General features: G+C 37.4%; 1 long non-coding RNA gene across 13 annotated transcripts in view; it reads left to right on the forward strand.

Moving 5' to 3' along the window:
* SAMMSON (survival associated mitochondrial melanoma specific oncogenic non-coding RNA) overlaps window positions 1-22,551 on the forward strand; it is a 435,002-nt gene that overhangs the window by 163,762 nt on the left and 248,689 nt on the right. For 4 of the 13 annotated variants that reach the window (NR_186026.1, NR_186027.1, NR_186025.1 and 1 more), the window contains one exon: window positions 20,000-20,852. The exons of 5 other annotated variants lie outside the window; for them this stretch is intronic. This is a non-coding gene — a long non-coding RNA (survival associated mitochondrial melanoma specific oncogenic non-coding RNA). Of the gene's footprint in view, window positions 1-8,947; window positions 9,576-19,999; window positions 20,853-22,551 lie in introns of those variants that run through there. 4 more of the 13 variants (NR_186023.1, NR_186021.1, NR_186022.1 and 1 more) reach the window with 1 other exon arrangement.

A 22,551-nucleotide genomic window follows, 5' to 3' on the forward strand; every position in this document is an offset into this window, starting at 1 on the left:
TATATAGAGAGAGAGAGAGAGAGAGAGTTATCTTTGGTTGCTCTGGGTATTACAATATGCATCTTAATTTTAAACAATCTAGTTTAGATTAATATTAGCTTACTTTCATTAGTATATAGAAATATTCTTCCAGTATAGTTCCCTTCCCCCTCTCCTCATTCATGTTATTATTGTCATATAAATTACATGAAATACTTACTTTGTAGGATTTTAAAATGCCAGGTTGGGGTTTTAACTTACTCTCATAGGCAGTGAGGAGACATTTTAAAGACCTTGGGCAAAAGAAAGAGAGTCATAACAAAAAGCACATTTTAGGAATATTAGCCAGGCAGTGGCATGAACACTGTGTTGGAGCTGACGATGCGGGGAGGGATTGGAAATTAGTAAAAAGAAGAAAGAGCAGTGACTTAGTAAAACAACGGCCTCTTAATTTTACTGAAGTTCCCAAATTGAAGTTACAGTTATTCTGGAGAAAGTTAGAAAAAAATTGCCTCAAGCATTTGCACTAGCTACCAAACACTAGGTTTACTTGTGAATGGATTCAATGGTTCAAAGCACAGATATGAAAGTTCCCAAGGTAATTGCCTTGTATAGTTTAGCCATGTGCCCCATAAACCCATGAACCCTATTTTTAAGGGCAAATTTCTTGTGGTAACTGGCAAAGTAATCCCTTTAACTTATCCATAAGAGTTGATTAATTGGAGACACTGGTCCATTGGCCTTGCAGTGATTGTGCTGATGGATTTAGGTTCATAAAAAGCCTAGTTTTTATTATTACCAATTCATCTGTTTGTCATTTGAGGGGGAAACAAGTAGAAAGAATCTGAGATTCTGATGCAGGCAGATGAAAGCTCATATTTTAGTTCTGCCTCTAACTAGCTGTGTCATTTGGAGACACTTGCCTAATTTTTCTGAACCACAGTTTCCTCATCTACTCATGGTAATAATACTTATCTCTCTATGACAAAATATGTATAGAACCCCTAGCACAATGACAGGCATTGTTTAATTAATAATGGCTATCATCCAAAGAGGGCCTATCAGAGAACAATATAAAATTTCAAAAAAAGATCTGTTTTCTCTCTTTCTGTAACTTCAAGGGATTTATTGAGGTGAATAGTACTTATTGCATGAATTCTGTAAACCTTGTGCCTGCACTTTTTCTGGTTAGATCATTTGAAGACCAGCAAAATTTTACCAGGTAGCTCCTGACCTCCCACCTGTGCAACAAATAAGGCTTCCAAATCAAGGTAGTATGCATAGTGTTCTGTCCGTGAGCTCCATAGCCAGACCATCTGGGCTCACTCACTCTGTGAGCTTGGACAAGTTTTTTAACCTCTCTGTGGCTATACTTCCTCATCTATAAAATCCAGAGGATAATAATAGAACCTACCACAAAGAATTAAGTGAGTTATCACATATGAAGTTCTTGGAAGAGTGCTTGGCACAAAGCAAACTCCGTGTACATTTTAATGTTATTGTTCTTGCTGTTGTTATTTGAGTTTCACATAAAATTTCCTCCGGAAAAGACTTTGGGGCTTTAAAAAAGAAAACTTACAAACTGCTTCTTTGCATTATTGAATTTGGCGGCATAATATTTTGAAGAAACAGTGCATTAGTATCTGCAGTTTCAAGATATGTTTCAAGATATGTACAGATAGATTTTTAAGACATATATAAGATATGTTTTCAAGAGATGTTCTACTAAATGGTCAAGTTAACTGGAGAGCCCCAAGAAAATGAATTCTCTGGACATGTGGAGTAAGGGTTTGAGAATTTACTATGAACAATCCACCACATGTCCAGAAAAACAAATCTCTTAATTAGGATGTAATTTGTGTCAATTATATAATCATTTTCTAGATGATATGGAAAGAACAAGACTTGATGCAGACTTATCAGATAACACAGGCTAATATAGTGTTGTGGTCTGAATGTCTGTGTCCTCCCCAGATTCATGTTGAAAACCTAATCTGTTGGTATTAGAGATGAGGCCTTTTGGAGGTGCTTAGATCATGAGGGCAGAGCCCCATGAGTGAAATTTGTATCCTTATAGAAGAGGCCCCAGAGAGTTTTCTTGGTTCTTCCACAATACAAAGACACAGAGAGAAGGCACATCTATGAACCAGATGAGCAGCGCACCCCAGAACCGAATATGCTGATGCTTTGATCTTGGACATTTCAGCCTCCAGAACCATAAGAAGCAAATTTCTGTTGTTTACAAGCTACCCATTTTATGGTATTTTGTCATAGTACTCCCAATGACCTAAGACATAGAGGAAGTTGTTGTCCAGAAATGCTACGAAAAGCTCATTCCTGAACACTCTGTCATGGCTTTTCTACCAAGGATCAGAAGTTTCTCTTAAGTAAAGGATATGGAAGATGCTTCTCTGTCTACTCTTTTAAAGTTCTTGCTCATCAAATTTACCATTCTTATAGGACGTGGTGTCATGGATATGTCTCCAAAATTCAATGCATCATATTCCCAAAGCTATTGCCATCGGAAAATGTGCCATCCAGCTCTCTGGATATTTTATCCAGGAGGTACCATGAAGTGGAAAGACTGGGAGTTGTGATGGTTCCAGATTTTGCACTAATTAATTATGGGAAATTTAGACAGGACATTTAATTCCTCTGAGCCTCACTTTCCTCATCTGTAAGATATGTAGACTGAATTAAAGGAGCTCCAATTTTCCTTATAGCTAATAATGGCTTCTTTATGAAGCTTCTAGAAATTTCGGGGGCAATAATTTTGATGGAGCCATTGTTTTGTGTTCAGTTGGTTAAGATCATGGGCCTCAGAGTCAGCCAAACCTGGGGTTGAATTCCAGCTCTGCAGTATGATATTAGGCAGGTCACTTAACCTCTCTGAAACCATTTTAAAGCATATGTGAAAAAATGTCCTGGTTATTAGAGTTTTACAGTGAAAATGTATGTACTGGATTTCTAAAAGGATGAGGCTTTGTGGTAAGTATTGCTATGATGGTGGCTTGCCTTCTCTAGGTTGAAGAATTGCTTCCAATAGCTAGAAGAATAGCAGTTACCCCTGGGCAATTTTGCTTTCTCATATCCTATGTTAAATGTAGATCTCTAGAAGAGGTGTTCTTGAAGATAGTATGACTTCTTCCAAAAAGAACAAGATAACACAATAGTTTATAAACCATTTACAGCACCCGTATCCTCCATGGCATTCTTTAATAATTATTGCCCTCCTAGAAGCCACTGACCTTCAGGCTGCCCAAGAGTGTCTGGCTGCTCCCGTAGAGGTAGAGGGTGATTTAAAGAAGAGCAGAATTAAATTTAAATTCCTGTTTATAACCCCACAGGCCTATTTGGTTTTGAATACCAATGCTGAGTCCATACCTTCCAACTGAAAATTGCCTGTGACAATTTTCTTTTAGAATATTAACATTGAATACTCACCCAGGACAAAAATTTAGTGAATTTGAATCATTGATGTCCATGGTTTGTACAATAAGTGTCAACAGATTTTCCTTTCCTTGCCCTCCAAGGAAAGAGAATATTGGAGATAGGTGGGGCTAGACATTATTATATTTTATAGGCATTATTCTCTTTAGTTCACCTTATTTTCTATATCAATGCTGTCCAATAGAAATATAAGGTAAGCCTCAAATGTAAGCTACACAAGTAATCTAAAATTTTATAGTAGTTACAATAAAATGCTTTAAAAAGTGTAAAATTAATTTTAATACTACATTTTATTTAACTCATATATCCAAAATATTATTCTTTCCTCATATAATCAGTATAACTTTTTTTAACTTAGTCTTTAAAATCCAATGTGTACTGTACACGTTATATTTTAAGTTCTCATAGTCACATGTGGCTAGTGACTATCGTATTGGAGAGTGAAGTTCTATATCCTTGCATATTAAACTATAGTTGGCTAATAAAAATAAGTAGATTGGTAGAAACACAAATGGCTTGTTATTTTCTACCTAGTAATGGGTACAGAATATATAGTGAGTGATTTTTGCATTTAAATAGTGAGCAGAATTCTAACATCTTCTAATAGATGATCTTCTTGTGAAATAATACACGTACATGAAAATAAAGATCATGCTTCAGATGCAGCATTTCTCTAAACGTAACATAATATATATTTTCACAGCCTTTGGACACATTGTATTTTGAGCAATACAGATCTAGTGATTTTTATCACTAGAAGGGAAGGTGGTGACTGAGGCTGAGCTGAGAAAAATATGGCCAGAGTACTCCTTTCAGCTACCTCCTAAGAAGTCCTGATTTTCTTCTACTGGGAGATCTTTATCTCCTGGAAATCTGGTCAACTAGATGCATCAGCTTTCTTGCTAGCACAAAGAGCGTTAGGGGAACAAACAGGCATCACAGACCCTGATGAACGTCAGCACCAATTGCATTATGACACCCTAGCTGCTAAATCTTTCATGGTAATGGGCCACGCTGGAGATGACTACAGCGATAGGCTTCATAGTAGAAGAAGCCTGTGGTCATCGCAGGTGGTGCCGATGCTGTCCTTATCACTGAATTTGAAGGATTGCTTGAACAGCTTGTAATGAGAGTGGCTAAAGTATTGATTTTGGACTACATCTGAATATGGAAAAGGCGACGGTTTTGAATCTTGGAGAGCTGACCTCACAGGGAAAAATAGCATCTTCACAGAAGCAGTTTTTAGGGAGTGAAAAGTAAAGCATTGTTTCCATGGCCAAAGACGTCTCCGTGAAAGACTCGCATATTCTGAATTAAGGACAAAGAGTGGTTCTCCTCCAGTTTTCCTATTCCATCTTTGAGTATCTTGTTTGGAGCATTAGATAGCTGGGTTCACAAGTCAAGGGCACAGGTTCAATCATCACGCAGGCTAGTGACCTTCAGTATTTCCTGGCCACAGATACCTGCCTTCTTCTAGCTGTTGTCTTGAATGACTGTGTAGTTGGTTCCAAGGGAATTAAGGGAGGAAGGGGTGACAGATGAAAGCCATCTATGACCTCTATTGGCAAAACAACTCATAACCTATAGAGCACAGGTCAGTAGTGGCGCCTTTTAAGGAAAATCAGCACATGGAGCTTATGCCACCAGGAAGAGTCATGTGCTTATAAACTGGATCATGGTAAATTTTCATTGAAAGTATGCATTGGTACTAATGCTAAGAATGGATGCAAAGCCAGTCAACGAAGCAGCAGAAAAGGTTAGCTCTTTGAAATATGCGACTATCAGAAAAGCCTAAAAGAACACAAACGATTGAGATCAATGAGCACAGATAAGAATGCTGTTAGGCATAGAATTGGTAGCCAACATCAGCACTAATGTTTCCATATCAATACTTATTTATGGCCCCACTTGTCAACATTAGGCGTACGTGGAGTGGAGTGTTCTCAATAGATAGCATCTTTTCTGCTTGTCCATCAATTTATTAGCATATACCTTGCTTATTATGTTTCTCATCATTGTAATTTCTTGTACTATTCTAAAGGGGGTTATTGGTTACTTTTTGCTAAGAAACAATGTGTTACATTTGGAACCCACACCAATATGTTTGCTGACACCTCATTCAAATTCTCCTGCTGTTTTCTGTGTTTGTTAGTTTCCACCCAATTCAATAGCTGTGTGTTGAATTGCACTGACTATGCTAAAGCTGCTCTCCTAATAGAAACAAGGGGAAGACATCATGGCCCCTGTCCAGAAGGAGTTCTGTATCTAGCTGGGGAGAAAGAATCACAAAACAACTAAAATATAAAAAGAAAGTTTCTATCATGGAAAGTGGTTTTGCACACATGTGTTTAATGTCACAGATCTGGGAGAAAAAAAGATATTTTGGATAAACTTTGGTTTTGCTTATATTGCTACCTATGAATAATCTTTCAAAGCAAAAGTGCTTCTCAGTTTTAAGATGGAAAATATCATTTGAAAAAGCTTAAAATAAACATAAGTATCAAATACACTATGAAGTCATTGAGTGAAGGCTATTCAGCCACAGCTTTCAGGATATCAAAAAAGCATATGACGTTTTATGCAAGGAGAATTTGTGGCTTACACTTCAAAACTTTATGGATCTAGGAAAATGTTTGTATTTCTTATTTGGTATGATTTAGGGTGATATTTCCTTAACATCTCCTTTTCATATTGTGCAATTCACACTAGAGACATGTCTATGAAATATTTACACATGATTTTTATTTGAAAGGAAGTAGCTGGTTGCTGCATGAAAGCTTCATGGCGAAGGTTCCTTGCTTTCAAAAGAAAATTGAAGCTAAATAAAAAGATTTCAGGGAGAGTTTAGAGAGGTCTTTTCTTTTTTCTTTTTTTTTTTTTCCTTCTCAAGAGGTAATTGATTTGCTCCCCAGAACAGTCTTTCTAGAACTCTAGGTAGACAATGCTCTAACCTTGTCAGAAGAGGATAATAAATTTAGAGTTAGACTGGTTTGGAAGGAAGGACTTAGAATGAACTACATTTTATAGGAACAGAGCACCGAGGGTCTGTTGTTAGTTTATAGGCCCTTGATTAGATAGCTTATTGATTTTGGCTGCTGGTGATAGGGTTCATGTTCAGAAGGTATCAAACTCATGCTGAATAAAATAGAAGCAAACGCTTTAGAAAAAATACCCCAGAAAGGAGGGGGACACTGGCTAGCAGTCTAGTTGTAGTTCATCAAATGGAATGGGCAGCTGTGCCTTATTGCCTTTAGCCCTCTGGAAGCAGTTATGTGTATTAAATACTGGAATAACTTGATATTTTAAAAGCTCATATGCTCATCCAAGTAAAATGGTTTTAGAAGACTACCGGGAGTTTTATGATTTTATAGTTAAATCAATACCCAGATTTATGCCTTTTGGACAGAGAAACTTGAATTTCATTGAGAAAATGGATCTAATGAGGATAGACATATTTTGTGCAGATGTAGGAAAGGTTTTTTTTTCACTTATTATCTGAAAAATGAAACAGGTACTTTTGTCATGAAGATGAATATAGCTTTACAGGAAAAATGACAAATGTTCAAAAATTTTAAAAGAAGATTTGTGATATAATATAGAGGTTCCTGAATGTCTGGAATCTGGCGGAATAATTTTTTTGTCTCTTTTAAATTCTTGAATTTAAAATTCATTAATTATACAGAAAATCACATAATATTTTTACTTTATACCGCACAATTAATGGCCATATGGTATTAAATTGGCAACCAGACTTTCAAGAATAACAATTTTAAACAGAATCACTTGCAGTCTAGATTTTCCTTTTTTTTTTTTTTTTTTTTTTGTATTTTATGATGCTTTGAATAGAAATTCGTATTTTATTCACTGGCTAAACAGAGGTGAAAAATTTTTAAAAGGAAATTGTGAAGGACATTGTTAATTTTTTAAGAGCTAGATATGAATAAAGATTCTCTAGATATTATTTTCTGTATTCTCAGAAGTCTTGGCATTTTCCAAATAGAAGGGAAAATCAAATAAGAAAAATTAGCGAGTGCAGAGATGTTTTGGTGATCTGCAATTTATTTTCCACTAACCCAAACTCTCCACAGTCTTTGACCACATTTTGTTGTAGGAAATATTCAAATACACTGTTCTTAAACAAACAAAATTCAATTTCATGGAGATTCTGCCTGTGTAATAACTGCGTGATTAGACCTTGAAATGCAATGAAGCAAATTCAGCTTCTAGAAACATATGGACTCAAGTAACTTTAAGAAAAATCATCGGAGGGCAGAATTTGGCTCTGTGATATTTTTATGCAATGAAAGACTTCCAGAAATAACTGTCTGCTTTCCTGCTGTCCAGAAAACACTCTTAAAAAAACACATACACAACATTTTTTTTAATTTTACTTTTTCCCCTAGACTCTATTTCTCACAAATTAAGAGCTCTCTTCTCTCAGGACACTTTATGAACATCAAAATTTTAAAAGTGGAATTTGTCTATCAAAGTGCCAGAGACAGGCTAACCTATGTTTTTCATAAGTATAGAGAACTGATCACTAGTAAATCTGGGAGCACCTAAGAGTTATGTCTAGAAGGTTAGCTGAAGCTTAACTTCATTGCCATATATTTCTCCTGGAAGATATTGTGAATATAAGTTTAAAAAAATCTTCAGACATATCAAACCCATACTGTTCAGAGAATTTATAGGTTTTATGTATAATGCTATAAATAAAAATACATTTTCAAAATGAGCACTGCAAAAAATAGAAAATCTGAGTATAGTTTTGGCTGAAATAATTTTGAAAATGCATGAAAAAAATGGACATTGATGTAACTTAAAAGGCACAGTCTTTGGGGGGGGGAGCTTGACTCCCAGTTTTTACTCAAATATGAATTATCTTCATTAATGAAAACCTAAAAGATGTTTATACTCTTCAATTTCACTTCGTGTGTTTTGGAATTTATTCTCGTGTCCTTTAAACCTTCTCTACTCTTTTCAAAGTGCATACTCATTATCCCAGAAAATCAAAACAAGAATCACTGGATACTCAAAAATGAATGAATCTCCCACCCCTGCCACATATTTCAGGAAGACACCTGGCGTATTAGACTAGGAGAGGTATAGAATTCAGCTGAAAAAGCCTCAAGTTGCAGGTTTCTATATTTTAAGGCTATAGTGGAGTGATTTGGCTGGTGCTGGTAAGTGATTTGAAAAGTAAGCAGTGATTCAGTCATTTTGTCTCTGGAAAGTAACCTGAAAAAGAGTTGCTATCTGGGGAGAATCTGCTAAACAACAATGATTTAATCTAGATAATTGATCTGATCCACTAGAACTACATTTCCTATTACAGAGAACTTTCTATTGAGCTTCATTCAATTAAGTTTCATTTCTTACATCTTTTGCCTTTATTCAATTGGTAACCACAGGCCAGGTAAAATATTTTTAAAGGCTAGTTAGTTATTGGAACAGATTTTCCCCCCAAATTGTTATTTTGTTTCATTAGTGGTCTTTTTTTTTTTTTTTTCTTTTTAAGGTGACAGTCTCATGTTGGCCATGGGGTACTCTCTGCGTCATGCTAGAAAGAGTTTATGGTCCCACCTGCATCCATGAGAAAGAGAAAACAAAGCTTCAATTTTAAGTCCTTGGAAATTCCATGCCATTAAGAAACTGCTACTGCCAGCTTTCTGGCGTTATTCAAAGGGGTAAAAAGTTCATTACACTAGTGTTCTTATAAGTGTTGGTTTTATTTCATATTATTTGAAGAGCTATTCTGCTTAGTAACAATAAATTGCTTGGAAGATGTCAGACCTGTGTTTGGGTTAGGGGTTGCTTTTAGCTGCAAGTAAGAACACTCACAAAAGAGGGGCTTAAATGCAACAAAAGGGGAAGGGCTAAGGGCAAAAGGCACATGACTTCAGCATCTGTCCCTTATAGCGATAACCATATTTTCTCTAGATGCTCATTGGACAGAACTATTTCTCATGGTCAATCACAACCAAAAGACAGCTGGGGAAATTCAGGATTTTAACAGGGCACACTTCCTATGCTGAACAAAATCTGAGTTCTTAATTTTAAAAAAGAAGAGAATGATATTAGAGAGATACATGTTCCATAATAGTTATTTAACTGTTCGTTTTTAATAAACATCACTTCATATCAAATGTCAGCTTTACACCTGTTATTTTTTCTTTATTAGAACTTATATTGTCGAAGAATTTTCTACTCTTAATCGTTTGCTTCATAGCGTTCTCATGTTAGTTCTTTCCTACTGAGGATGTTGAAACCATCCATATAGGGATTGGGAGGACATGTAAATTATTGCTTGCATACTTGACCACTAAAAGCCCACTACATTTTTCTTCTTGGATAAATATAAGCAGTTTAAATTTATACTGATAGAGATATTATTACCCTATCATATTAACGCATTGAGAGTTTAATAGATTGTAATACAGGTAACTGTTTCCTCAAACCATTTATTTTTCAGCAGACTATTTTACCTTTAAAGTAGTCTCTGTTCTGTTTGTCACAGGACCCGTGGGATGTGCTGCATTAATCAATTGAGTTTAATTTAAAAACATTTATTGAATGACTACTATTTGCTGTGGCTTTTCAAAATCCATTAAAAATAGCTTTTGGATATTTCAAATAATGATATAAAATTTGTTCAAAATTTTCACAGCAGTAACAACCAAAATCTACTTTAACTAAAAAAGCAAATATATGGTATACGTTTTAAATCCCCTGTCTAGGCATTATATTATCCTTGATCTTTACCTCATCTGCCCTCTCACGACTTTTGCATGTGCTTCTCATAAGTAGGAGAATTTATATATGCTCAAACTAGATAATTTTTGCAAAAGTTTTAAAAACATTTTTCCCTGAACCATTAGTTGCTCACAATGATCACGAGCCAAAATGACAAAAATAAGTACTTTTTTTGTGTTTTTACAGTCTTGTTAATCATATTTGCCAGGTAAAAATCATATCTCTATTTAGTTTTTTTCTTTAAGAGAATAAAACAGTACTAGCAGCACTAATACTCATAAAGTTTTCTCCTTGAGGTGATATTTTGTTACTTTTCATTATAAGAAACAACTTAATGCATTTAAGTTGCAGGGAAATAATATAGATATACCAGAACATGTTACCAAGTTCCACATTTCTGCATCTGGGGAATGTAGAATGGATAGGAATCTGAATGGCTGATTAGCAACAAGCAAACAAAACCAAAAAACTTCCCCAGGAAAGTTGCTCAAGTTCTTAACTCCTAAATTACATCCTCCCTTTGGACATCTGGACATTCTTTTTATGAGGCATCTTGTCCAGCTTAATCTCATATAATTCTTAGGTTATGAACAGATTTTGTTTTTTGACTAGAATTTTACATTTTGGATAATTACATTGATTTGTATTCATTTTCAGGTTTAAACCACACCTCTACATCTGAGTGTTTATTAAGATGGTATGAAGCACGGTGAGAACAAAAATTGTTTGTACTAGGAAACTGTATTATTTCATCTTTTGGAAAAAATCTAAATGATAAACCTAATCACATGTTGATATATTTTTAAGTACACTTTAAGGGAGTGTAAGTGGTTAAATAGGGAGTGAAGTGTTGGTTGCTTTATGAAGCAGTTGTATCTAAAATCCAGGCTCAGGGTCCAGCCAAAATAGAATGTGCATCATCAAACCATGCAGAGTAGCAGAGCTAAGCAAGGCATAACGTAGAGATAAAGAATCCTGGAAGTGGTTGTAGATATTTAGTAGCCCTAGATTTAGGTAAATTACCATTAATTATAAGAAAAAAATATGCTAGTGAGAGGTACTTCATGGTGTCTAAGAAGAATTTTCAACTTTTCTCAATAGCATATCTATTTTTCTACAGAATTTAGTTTTATTGTATTCATATGCCTACAAATGAAAAAATATTCTAGAAAAGGTTGACTTTCTATCCCTTCAATTATCTATTCAATTAGGGTCAACAAGGTCTAAGATTTTTTTTTTTAGGCTGCCATCTATGAGGAAGTAGCCACTGAACTGGAACCATTTCTAATTATAGATCATGAATCCTAGGTGGACAATCTAATTTCAAAATCATGAACCAAGCCAATTCTAACATATTTTCATGTACAGTTTATTTCCCAAATTCTAATAAGTACTTCCCCCCACCTTCCCACATACATTTTAATGTTTTCAAATTGAAATGCATCTTAAAATCAATATGAACACTTAACAAGGTGGTTTTTCTTTTATGTCACAAAAGCTGGTATTCGATTGGCTTAAGTAATAAGAAAATTTGTTATCGCAATTAATAGAAAGTCTGGAGATAAACAAGTTTGCTTTTTGATTGACACAGTAGTTTAACTCTATTGGGGACTTTGGTTCTTTTCATCTCTCCTCTGCTAATGATATGAATATAGGTCTGGCATTGATTTAATCATGACCATAAGTTGGCTGCCAATAGCAATCAAGACACCTTACTTTCTTGCTCATGCCAAATGAAATAGAGAAAGAGTACCTCTCCCCCTAGTCTAATACATATGTCCTTCCTTTCAGTCTGATTGGGTCAGTTTAGGCATCTTTCAGACCAATCAGAGTTATCAAAGAAATGCCTTCCACTGACTGGTTTATTCTCATCAAGCCCTACCAGAGAAATGCCTGAGTCTCATGAATCACTTGAACTGTATGAGAGACAGGAAGTATAGGATTCACATTAGGGCTCTGTTAGGAGAGAAGCAGAAGGAATAGATCTAGACAGACAACTTGTCATGTCCACTTTTGAGAAGTGGACATATGTGAGCTGATCCAGAACCCCAAATCTTCTGTGCTTTTAAAAAAAATGTTTCTGAGACTTCATAGATATCAACCAAGAATTTGGATATATCCCTTCTCTTACCCCAGTTGCTCTACAATCTCCTCCAGAAACTCTGCCAAATGACTAAATAATGAATTCCTGATAAGGTGATAATGGCTTAGAATGACTTAATGTGGTAAGATTCTCAGGACTATTGCATTATAACAAGACACTCCTAGCACAAAATTTCTCTCTGACGATGGTAAAAAGTTGGGTCCTGGGTTTCAGTAGGAGAAAGCTAGTTTAAGGTGAGGTGTCCTGACCACTCGTGGTTGGCTTTACATGGGGCCACCGAAACACCTTTGCACATAGTAATTAGGCTTACATTTTTATTGTTTGCCATTCAAGAGCACACTTCATCTAGAGATATTTCTGCCTTTTCTCCAAGACTCAGATTCAGCATACCCATGATATCTCCATGCCTTAGGGATTCAGACTTAAGGTCAGAATTTGAGTTCACTAAATTCACCAAGACACAAAATATTCACAAGTGGGATGTAAAAATCCCATTTGTTCACTGTCTTCTTCATGCTTTAATATATTTCTTTTGGTGGCATTGAGGACCAGGCAAATCATGGAGGTAGTGCTGAGGACTAGGGGAACTCAATTTATTTGTAGTTCACAGGGTTATACCTGTAAGAGGCCATTTGGTAGAACTGATTGCTCAGGCGAAACCCAAGAAATGTACTTGAAGGAAACCCCATAAGCCTCTGTTATACACAAGTAATTAGAGGCATTAAGGAAAGCAGAAGAAGCTTCTGTGGGTGAGATAGACCCCGTTTATGAGATGACATCATCATTTGAGAGTTTAGCTTCATCAACTTTTCATCAATGTCTTGACCTGACGTGGATGACAAAATATTCTTTTGTAATGTGAAATTTGGAATTTTCTTTCTTTTCCAATGCCCCTCAAAATGATGTTCTATGAGTTGTTATTAATACAATGGTAATTCAATAGAAGCTTTCATATCTGACCCCTACTTAAACGACTTTTCAAACTAATAATTCTCTTTTTCTACCAGAAAACAAACTCTGATCCCTTGCAATGAGAAAACTACTCTAATACACCTATCATTTAATTTGTATACTAAAAAGATAAGACTAGGTGTTCAAATATGTTAATGCCTAATGTACTTGTTATATACATAAATGATCAAATATTATATAAACTGGTTAAATAAGAGTATAAAAAGATGATCATTTTTTTCTGAAACTAAGTTACATATTATGGAAATACTTGATAAGGGCTTAAATTTAAAATTTCTCTTCAACCGGGTGGAGAATAGATCAAAGTCTGAAGGGTGCGAGTATCACAGGTATCTAGAATTCTTCACACAGGAATTTTATTAAAGGTCTATGAGATGTTTGCTTTAAGAGCTAAGGACGAAAACTTTACATGATGCATTAAGGCGTTGGTATATACAAGAAAGATGATGCAGGGTGTTGAAGATCAGACATCCACCTATCCTTTGATGTTAATCCAAACAACTAGAGAATATATATACATCTATTTGTTCTCAGTGAAAGAAAATATGGAAAGAAAGTATGTGTCTTTTTTAGGTTGTTTTGCTTTATCTGCACATTTTTGTTTAAGAGATCAGCTTTTACTGGAACAATTTACACTGGTACATACCCCTACCTGACCAAATCTGACACTTCCCTGTGTGCTGAAAGATCTGCACAGGGTGTGCCATCCATTCATAATAATCTGTTCAATCAATATTTATTGAGCACCTACCGTGAACTGGTCTCTTGTCCAGAAGGTAGAAAACACAGATAAAAATATGCTCTCTCTGACTTCAAGGTCATAGTCAAATGAAAGGAGAGAGATACGACAGGTTAAGTACATATGTCTGGGGTGTCGTGAGAAGCAGAGGAGTGACATTCAGTTGTCGAAGTATCTAGATGGACAATGTATAATATGCTGCCATTCATTTTGACCTCTCTTGTTTCCAAAGACTTTTGGTGGTCACAACCTGGTATGTCACCTCATATTAATAATACTAAAATTTATTGAGAATTTACCTCGCACTGGACAATATGCTAATTGCTTTACATGCACAATCCTATGGGGTCCTCACAGTTATCCCATGAGGAAGATTCCATTATTATTCCCATTTTACAGAAGAAGTTGCACCACTGAAAAGGGTAAAACTGAAATTCAAACTGAGTTCTGTCCATCTTTAAAATATGCCTTCTCAAGTGTCCACTTATGGTACCGCCGGCAACTTTTAGTGTAAGGAGATCCTTATTCGTTCATGATATAGTTTAAAAATTGTTTGAACATATGGACAATATATGTGCGTGTTTGTATGTCTGCAAAATATACAGTTGGATGTTCTCTATATGTACTTGCTGGGAAAATGTATGGTGTATGTATATATCTATAAACACTCCCTGCCCATATGCCGAGCGTTATAGTTAGCAAGATGAACCAGTTGGCCGTTACACATGCTGGCAGGGCCATCCTAGGAGCAGTTGCTGGGGATGTATATCACCCCCCTTCCCCCAGGAGGGCTGTCCTATTGTCTTATGAGGGCTCTTCAAAACAGTTCCAGGCTCTTCTCTAATGCCAGCATTTCTGTAGCCAATGGATATTTTCTGCTTTTCTCTTATGCTGGGGATGTGTGGAGGAAGGAGGGGGCATTAAAATAATTTTCTGCTCTAGGCTCTGATACACTTAAGACAGCCCTCTTCCTGGAATATATAAATGCCAGCAAATCAGCATTTCTTAAACTGCAGTATCCTTCCTGGAAATCCTGTTAAAGGACATACCCTGGCTGCTTGTCTCGGACCGAACAAGAATATAGCAAGCCTCATAATTTCCAGTGCTGAGATATTAGCATAAATCTCCCACTAATGCACCTCTGTCTTTTAGTGGAAGAGTCACTGCAACCTAAGAAAATGCGTTAAACTGAGAAGGGACTAATGTTTTGAAACTGGGGCATGGCACTATGAAGGAGGCATTTGCTGGGAGTTTCCAGTCCTGCAAATACCACTGCGGAGGCATTTAGAAGCTTTTCTTGTTTGGGCCATGAAAAATGATTAGATGTCTCACTAGGAAAAATGGTTTTGAACTGCTTATGGAGCAATAATAAGAACTTTGTGCTGGGCACAGTAGCTCATGCCTGTAATCCCAACACTCTGGGAGGCCAAGGGGGAAGGAGCACTTGAAGCCAGGAGTTAGAGACCAGCTTGGGCAAAATGGTGAAACCTCATCTTTACCAAAAATACAAAAAAATTAGCTGGGCGGGTGGCATTCCCCAGCTACTAGGGAGGCTGAGGTAGGAGAATCACTTGAGCCCAGGAGGTCGAGGCTGCAGTGAGCCATGATCATGCCACTGCACTCCAGCCTGGGTGGCAAAGCAAGGCCCTGTCTCAAAATAATAGTAATAATAATAATAAGAAGAAGAACTTTATAACTGATCAGTTTCATTTTATATTTTTGCCTCTGGCATCACAATAATCTCATGAGAGAGGCAAGATAATTAGTCCCATTTTAAAGATGTGGAAATGAAGACTTAAGAGGTTAAGTGACTCTGAGACTTAGAATGTCAAACTGGAAGGGCTCTCAGAATTATTTTGGACACCTGGAGCTCTCTTCTGTGGGTGCTGTCTCTTTTTCCCCTTCTCACTTCTTAAACCTTGGTTCCCCTTCTTTTTGAGAAGTGAAAGTTTTAGGCACTTCTACATTTCTTGGAGCATGGTGTTTAATACAGACATTTTTGGTGTTTGTTGAATGCGTGTTAGGTGACTTTACACAGAATCCTACGTGGGACTGCAGTACCTAAGACAGACAGGAGCAGAGTTGCAGAGGCTGAGGGGGAAGAGAAGCCCAGCGCCCTGCTCCCTCAGCTGCTCTTGGCTCCCACCTTGTCCTGTTGACCAGTCCAAGCAATGCACAGGGTACACCCCTAATAGAGTTCAAGATCTCATTTTACTAAGGCCTCCTTATTTGCTGAAAGCCAGTAAGTTTCTTTATGGCAGAGGTGGGTCTTAACACTAGGATCTTTATCTACCAGCCCAACACTTTCCTTCTAAGCAAGTCTGTACTTGTACATGAGAGTGGCTGACTGTGGCTTAGAGTTGGAAGAGAACTTAAGAGTTTTTTTAAATTGCCTCTGGACATTGGAATATCCTCTGTTCTATATCTGAATGGGGTCAATGAACTTCTGCTTGAATTCTTGGATTATAGTCACAGGCTTATGTCCAAAGGACATTAAGGAAAAGTTCAACTGCTAAGAAAGATGTGCTTCCTGAGTGAGTGGATGTATGGGGAAAGATGCCCAGTGGATAGTGTCAACAGTCCTGTGACCTTTATTCTCCTGGGATTCTTTTCCTCTCATCATGGGATAGATTTTTATTATTTTACCTGTGCTTCGTATGTGTGTGTGTGTGTGTGTGTGTGCGCGCACGTGTGTGTGAAGAAAAAAATGGGTAGAAAGGAAGGAGTTTGTTTTCAGTTTTGAGTGATGGCATAATAAACTGAAATTCAGTTGTCCTTAAAGAAAAAATGATTTTGAGTCAACTTAGGTTTTAGTCTTGGGTCTGAGAAACCTCACATAGATAACTTGATGGTCCTAAGCAGTATTTCTTCATAGATAAAATGAGTATAGTAATATCTTTTTATGGGGTTTTGTGAAGATTGAACTAAATAATGTATATAAATTGCTTTGGCCAATGTCTAACACACAGCAAGTTTTCAGGCCAATAGAGGCTACTCCAATAATAACAACAATAATACAATTATAATCATATTGACAGTTACTCATATATGTGTAACTGTATATACTACCTACATATATTACACGTATGTTGCATATATAATATCTAGTATATATTTATATGGGTACAAACACACATATGTATGTATGCTTAATACTGAGGCCTTAGAAAACAGAAACCTAAGAACTGAAACCCTTTTACAAGCCTGGGTCTCTTTTATACACCGACATAAACCAGAATCTCCTTGAATTGCATTACTGCCCAATCAAGCAAATGTTCAAGTTCTTTGAGCCTTCAGATATGCTATACCTCACTGAACAATTAGGGATTACAGAAGTACACCGTGCTACTCCGAACCCATTTAGTCTTCCAAAAATATTATATCTGGGCCAACAATGGGATATACAGTGGTGCACAACAGACAGACTGTTCCTGCCCTGGTCATGGAGTTACAGATTCAATTAAGTGCTGCGAAGGCTAAGAAAAGTTCTATGAGTCAGAGAAAAGCAAAGGCCCCCTAATTTAAATTGAGGTTTCGGTGGGGAAAGAGAACAAAGCTTTAGGCCTGAAGTTAGCCAGATGAAAGAACAGCAACAACAAATGGGCTGAGTTAGGAAAGAACTGCTTATGTTGGGGGACTAGCTGGGCTAGCCAAGGCCTTGCACGGGGTCAGATCTTCCCGGCCTGGCAAGTCATGGTGAGGAGCTTGGAATTTATCATGGGAACAGTGGGTGAACGTTGAGAGTATCAAGCAAGGAAGTGATAAGTTTCAGTTTGCATTCTAAAGAGACTTCTTCAGGACCATCCTCCCAGCAGCATTGCTCCTTTCCTCTCTGCAATGGCCAAGTTTATTGCGTGAAACATGTCCACAGAAAAGGATCCAATTTTCTCACTCTTGAAAGGCAAAGTGGCCAATGAAGCTGCGTATGTGGTCTTGAGAGGACATTTATATTTTAACAGAGGTTCAAGTTTTAAGCTAAAGGAATAAAACTAAAGTTTTAAGCTAAAGGAATGCAAGTGTGGTTTTTCTTGCATCAGCAACCTCAGGAGTTGAAGGGGCTTCTTTTGGAGAGGGATGTGGCCTAATAATGTGTGGAAACTCAGAGATAAGCAGACCAGGGATAAAGTCCAAGCCCTGCTTCCTACAAGTGTGACTTGTGTATACTCAATCTTCTTAACCCGCAGTTTCCTTATCTGCAAATTGGGAAGAGTCCCCACCTCATAGGGTTGTTGAACTGAGTAGAATAATGCATGGGAATAAATACACCATTGTGGGACTGTTTATATTAAACCCTACCATGCAGGGTGGGAAAAGGACCTTCCTTCCTTGAATTCTTCTTTTGAAAACATGATCACAAGATTCCAGGGTAATTTCAAATTGACTTTCTCATGATCTGTATCACATCATCTATGTTTAGACATTTTCACACTTTCATGCGAAAACATTTTGGGTGTTCTTCCTTTAAGAAACATATACTTTCTTCCACACATATTTTTGCATGTTACAAACTGTGTCAACGTGCAAATTATTTCCTTGAAATAATTGGCGATTTAGTATCAGTGATGGGCAGGGGTGAGTCAACTGGAAGCTCAGGAAAGAGATTTCAGAAAGACTGCAGGGAAGGAGCATTGGGGAGGGAGTAGTCTTCAGAATCACAGGGTTTAGAATCCTGTGAGACACTGGCAGGATGAAATGAATGTCCAGGATGCTCCAGTGCTCTGAATTCCAGGCCCGAGATGGGCTGGAGGTCCTCATTTTGCCTTCAGAAAGGGGCCTGGGTAGGAAGCAGGTGTCTAATGGTGCTAAGGAGGTTTTTTTTAATTCCTATGGCATATGCCCTCAGAAAGCTTGCTTATCTCCCCAACCCCCGCCCCCACCTTCGAAAGAAAGGGGTGGGGGAGCTGAAAAACACTTGGCACAGGTGCAAGAAAGCTGAAAACGTCTGGCAGAGCTCACAGACGTCGTTTTCCACTCGGCACCAAATGTTTTACAGTCTTCGTGAGCCCATATAGATTCTGGCTTCTGCCCAGTCGTTTGTTTGAAACTGTAGGCTCTGAGAAAAGGCTCCACGCTGCAGCTGGCCTTTAAACTGTGTTTTATGGGGGGAGAGTGTTCAGGGTACAATTGGAATTAGGAGAGCTTGCCTTTGACGTTGGACGTAAAAGTAACAGATTGGAGCGGGGTGGAGCTCATGCTAAGGAATTGTTGGTCTGTTCATTTTCCCCCTCCGAAGACGAAGCTTTTGGAAATTTTACCTCAATCTCAATGATTTCACGGGCTAATTTACAGCGAGGCCCCCAAATGTGACTTTAGCCCAATTTGGCTCAATTTGACTCCAACATAAATCTAACAGTTCCAAGTAATGGAGATGGCAGAACCGTTCTTAGTGATGTAAATTTCTTGCTAATTTAGGGCAATTGTGGCTTAGTTCCCACCTGCATGCATGTTCATTATGAATGAACATTTAATAGTTAACTATTTGTCTTTCTCTTTCTTTGTAACCCTTTTTGGTTCCTTATCATGCTTATGGCTCATAATTTCAAAGGACTAATGACTAATTGGATTTTTTTTGTAACTGTATATTAATGATGCAAACGAAAAAGACTTCAACAAGAGAGTTAACGCTGAAATCTGAGCATTAAAAAGTCTTTCTTACTCTGACAGTTTAGGGAAAAGTAGGCATTTGGGTCCTCCTCAGGTCTCTGGATTCAAATAATAACTATTCTTTGTTGAACACTCGCTACATGCCAGCTACAAGCCTAGGTGCTTCCCATGAACTTTCTCATTTTTTCTTCACTGTAACTGTGAAGTATGAAGATGAAATCCACGTTTCAGCAGAGGAAACTGAGGCTTAGAAAATTTAAGTGACTTTCCCAAAGAGATGATTATGAATGTGCATTATGGATTTACTTATTTGATCCTTTTCAGTTTTCAGGAACCATGAAGAACAAAATAGTTCACAGTTCCCAGAGTAAATATAACACCCACTTCTCTGTTCTCAGTGGCTCGTGTGGAATGACTTATCCTGGAATTTAGAGTTGAAGATAATCCTGATGCTTCAAAGAGAAGAGTTGGAACACAGTCCTTTTTTCTAAACAGAGGAATTGTTGAATATGCGACTGAACCTCTGACTTAACTAATTAGTTAATTTGGAGCAGAGTTTGAACACAGTCCTTTTTCTAAACAGAGGAATTGTTGAATATGCAACTGGTCCTCTGACTTAACTAATTATTTAATTTGGAAGTTATAGGTTTTTTATTACTTGAGGAGCAGCTTTCTCTGAACAAATACAGTGTCCCCTGGGGTGTCCAAATTGTGACAGAAAAGTAGCGCCAGCTTGAAACTAGCTAGTCATCACATAGTGGCATCATGTGAATGAAGAATCCCCCAAATCTGTGACCCTCTTCTATCCTTATGAACTAATTCAATAAATAAATGAGCACTTTCTCAGTTCCCAAACTGAGAGCAGTTTAAAAAAATAATGAGAGCACAGATATCTATTTAGAGAGATGGCGAGATAGAGGAGAGAGCAAGTTGCACACCACGAAACAAAGGGAAAGATAAGAAGAGAGAGTGTGTCACTACTTCCCCGTGGCAGAATCACAATCTTTTTTGGATGTCATGTTGAAAAGATTCCCAATTCGTAGTTCTGTGAGCTAAAGCAGATGGATGCTCCATGTTGGTACAAATTCCTATTTGAAGCAGTGTGGTTGCAAAGATGGGGTTTGGGTCATTTGATTTTCTCCGAAAAACAATCTTGTGTAACTGTTAAAAGAATTTATAATACCCAATGCAATGTATCATCCGTGATGCTTCTTCAAAAATGTTAAATAAATGCTGAAACCAGTGTTTCAAATATATTTGTCCAGATTAATAAACAGGGTTACTTTGGTTAATATATGTTTGGGAAATGCTGAATTTAACATATATAGACAGGTTTGTTTTTCCCCTGCAGGACTTCTCAGAGCCTTTACTATTGCCCTGTGATTCTCTAAGAAGGGATAATACTATACCACTTGATCTTAGAGTGCTTTTTCCATAAAGTATCTGCTTCACACTACTGTGCTTCCAAACAACCTTCGGAAAATGCTGAAATATTATCACTTAGGTAAAGAAGGGTTTAACTTTTTCACCCGATTTTGGATCATTATGGCTAAGCCTCCACTTACATAGAAGTTTATTATGAAAATTTTTGATAGTTAACACGTATCTTTAGTCCTCTTTGGTTTCTTATATGTTTGTTAGCACATAATTCCTAAAGATTGATAACTGATTAGATTTTTAGACAATCAGAAATTAAAGACATACATGAAGAGATTAAAGCAGTAAGGTAAATCAGAACAGAAATTTGGAGTCTCAGTTCCCATTGAATAATTTAGTTGCCAGCCCTTGCTAGACTAACCACATGAGGTCATGTCACCTTTCTGGGGAATCTTTGGGAAGAATCCTGAAACAGAAGGCAAAATACCTCTCAGCACACCACATTTTACCTCTCAGGTTGTCAGGTGAAACTAATGGACTGTGTACTGTTCTTAGCATGCTGGACCAGGTTTGCAGTGACCTTTCCCTGTAAGACAGCGCTATCTCCACCAAGGAGAATGCCAGCATATGCAAAGTCTCTGCTGCAGTCCTTTTTGATTAGGTGTAAACTTGACGTATCCTATTGATGTCTGGGTCTCCATCAGTAGCTTGCAGAGAAACTTACTGTATTGTATCCCAAATAGAAACACTGAGCCCCTTTCAACATATCCATGTGTTTTTGGAAAATTGCAAAATTAAGGTATTTTTTGCAGTCTTGATCTTGGAGAGATTCTCTGAAGTTTTAAGCATCAGACTCCACAGAACACGGATCTACTCCCATCACCAAAGAAAGCCTTAACTGGATTTGCCACAAAAGGAGAAACCATATAAAAATTTCCTCCATGGCATATATCTTATCCCATGGAAATAAGAAAAAGGCTCAGAATAGCCCTTCCACTATGTAATGTGGTTGAAATGTCCACTAAAAGTTTCATACGGGAGCTCACATGTAGCTGGGAGCTCCTTCTGTCTTTTCTTCCCTATAATTAAGGGGGCATGTCAGGTCTGGGGCCCAGAGCTCTCCCATGATTGAAGTTTGCCACCCTCTTGCAGACAGAGGATTGAAAGCCTGGCATAGAATATCTAGCTATTGTATAAGTTTTATAGGACAACAGAGAGCATGAATAACCCTTGGGTTGTCTTTGGCAGTTGCTTTCTAGAAATTCCCTTTTCACAATAAGTAAAAGAATCAAAATATCACCCCCAAGATTGGCAGATGCAGAAGTATCACCTAAAGTCAGCTTCTACCTTCTAAACTCTTCCATGGGTCATTCAAAGAGGTTGTGCCAGCCAGGTGTAGTGGCACATGCCTGTAGTTCCAGCTACCAGAAGGCTAAGGTGGGAGGGTTGCTTGAGCAGCATAGCAAGACCCCGCCTCTACAAAAAAAAAAAAAAAAAAAATTAGCTGGGCATGATGGTGTGTACCTGTAGTCCCAACTACTTGGGAAGCTGAGGTGGGAGGATCACTTGAGTC

This window comes from Homo sapiens, chromosome 3, assembly GCF_000001405.40.
Source record: "Homo sapiens chromosome 3, GRCh38.p14 Primary Assembly".
NCBI classification, from domain to species: Eukaryota; Metazoa; Chordata; class Mammalia; order Primates; family Hominidae; genus Homo; species Homo sapiens.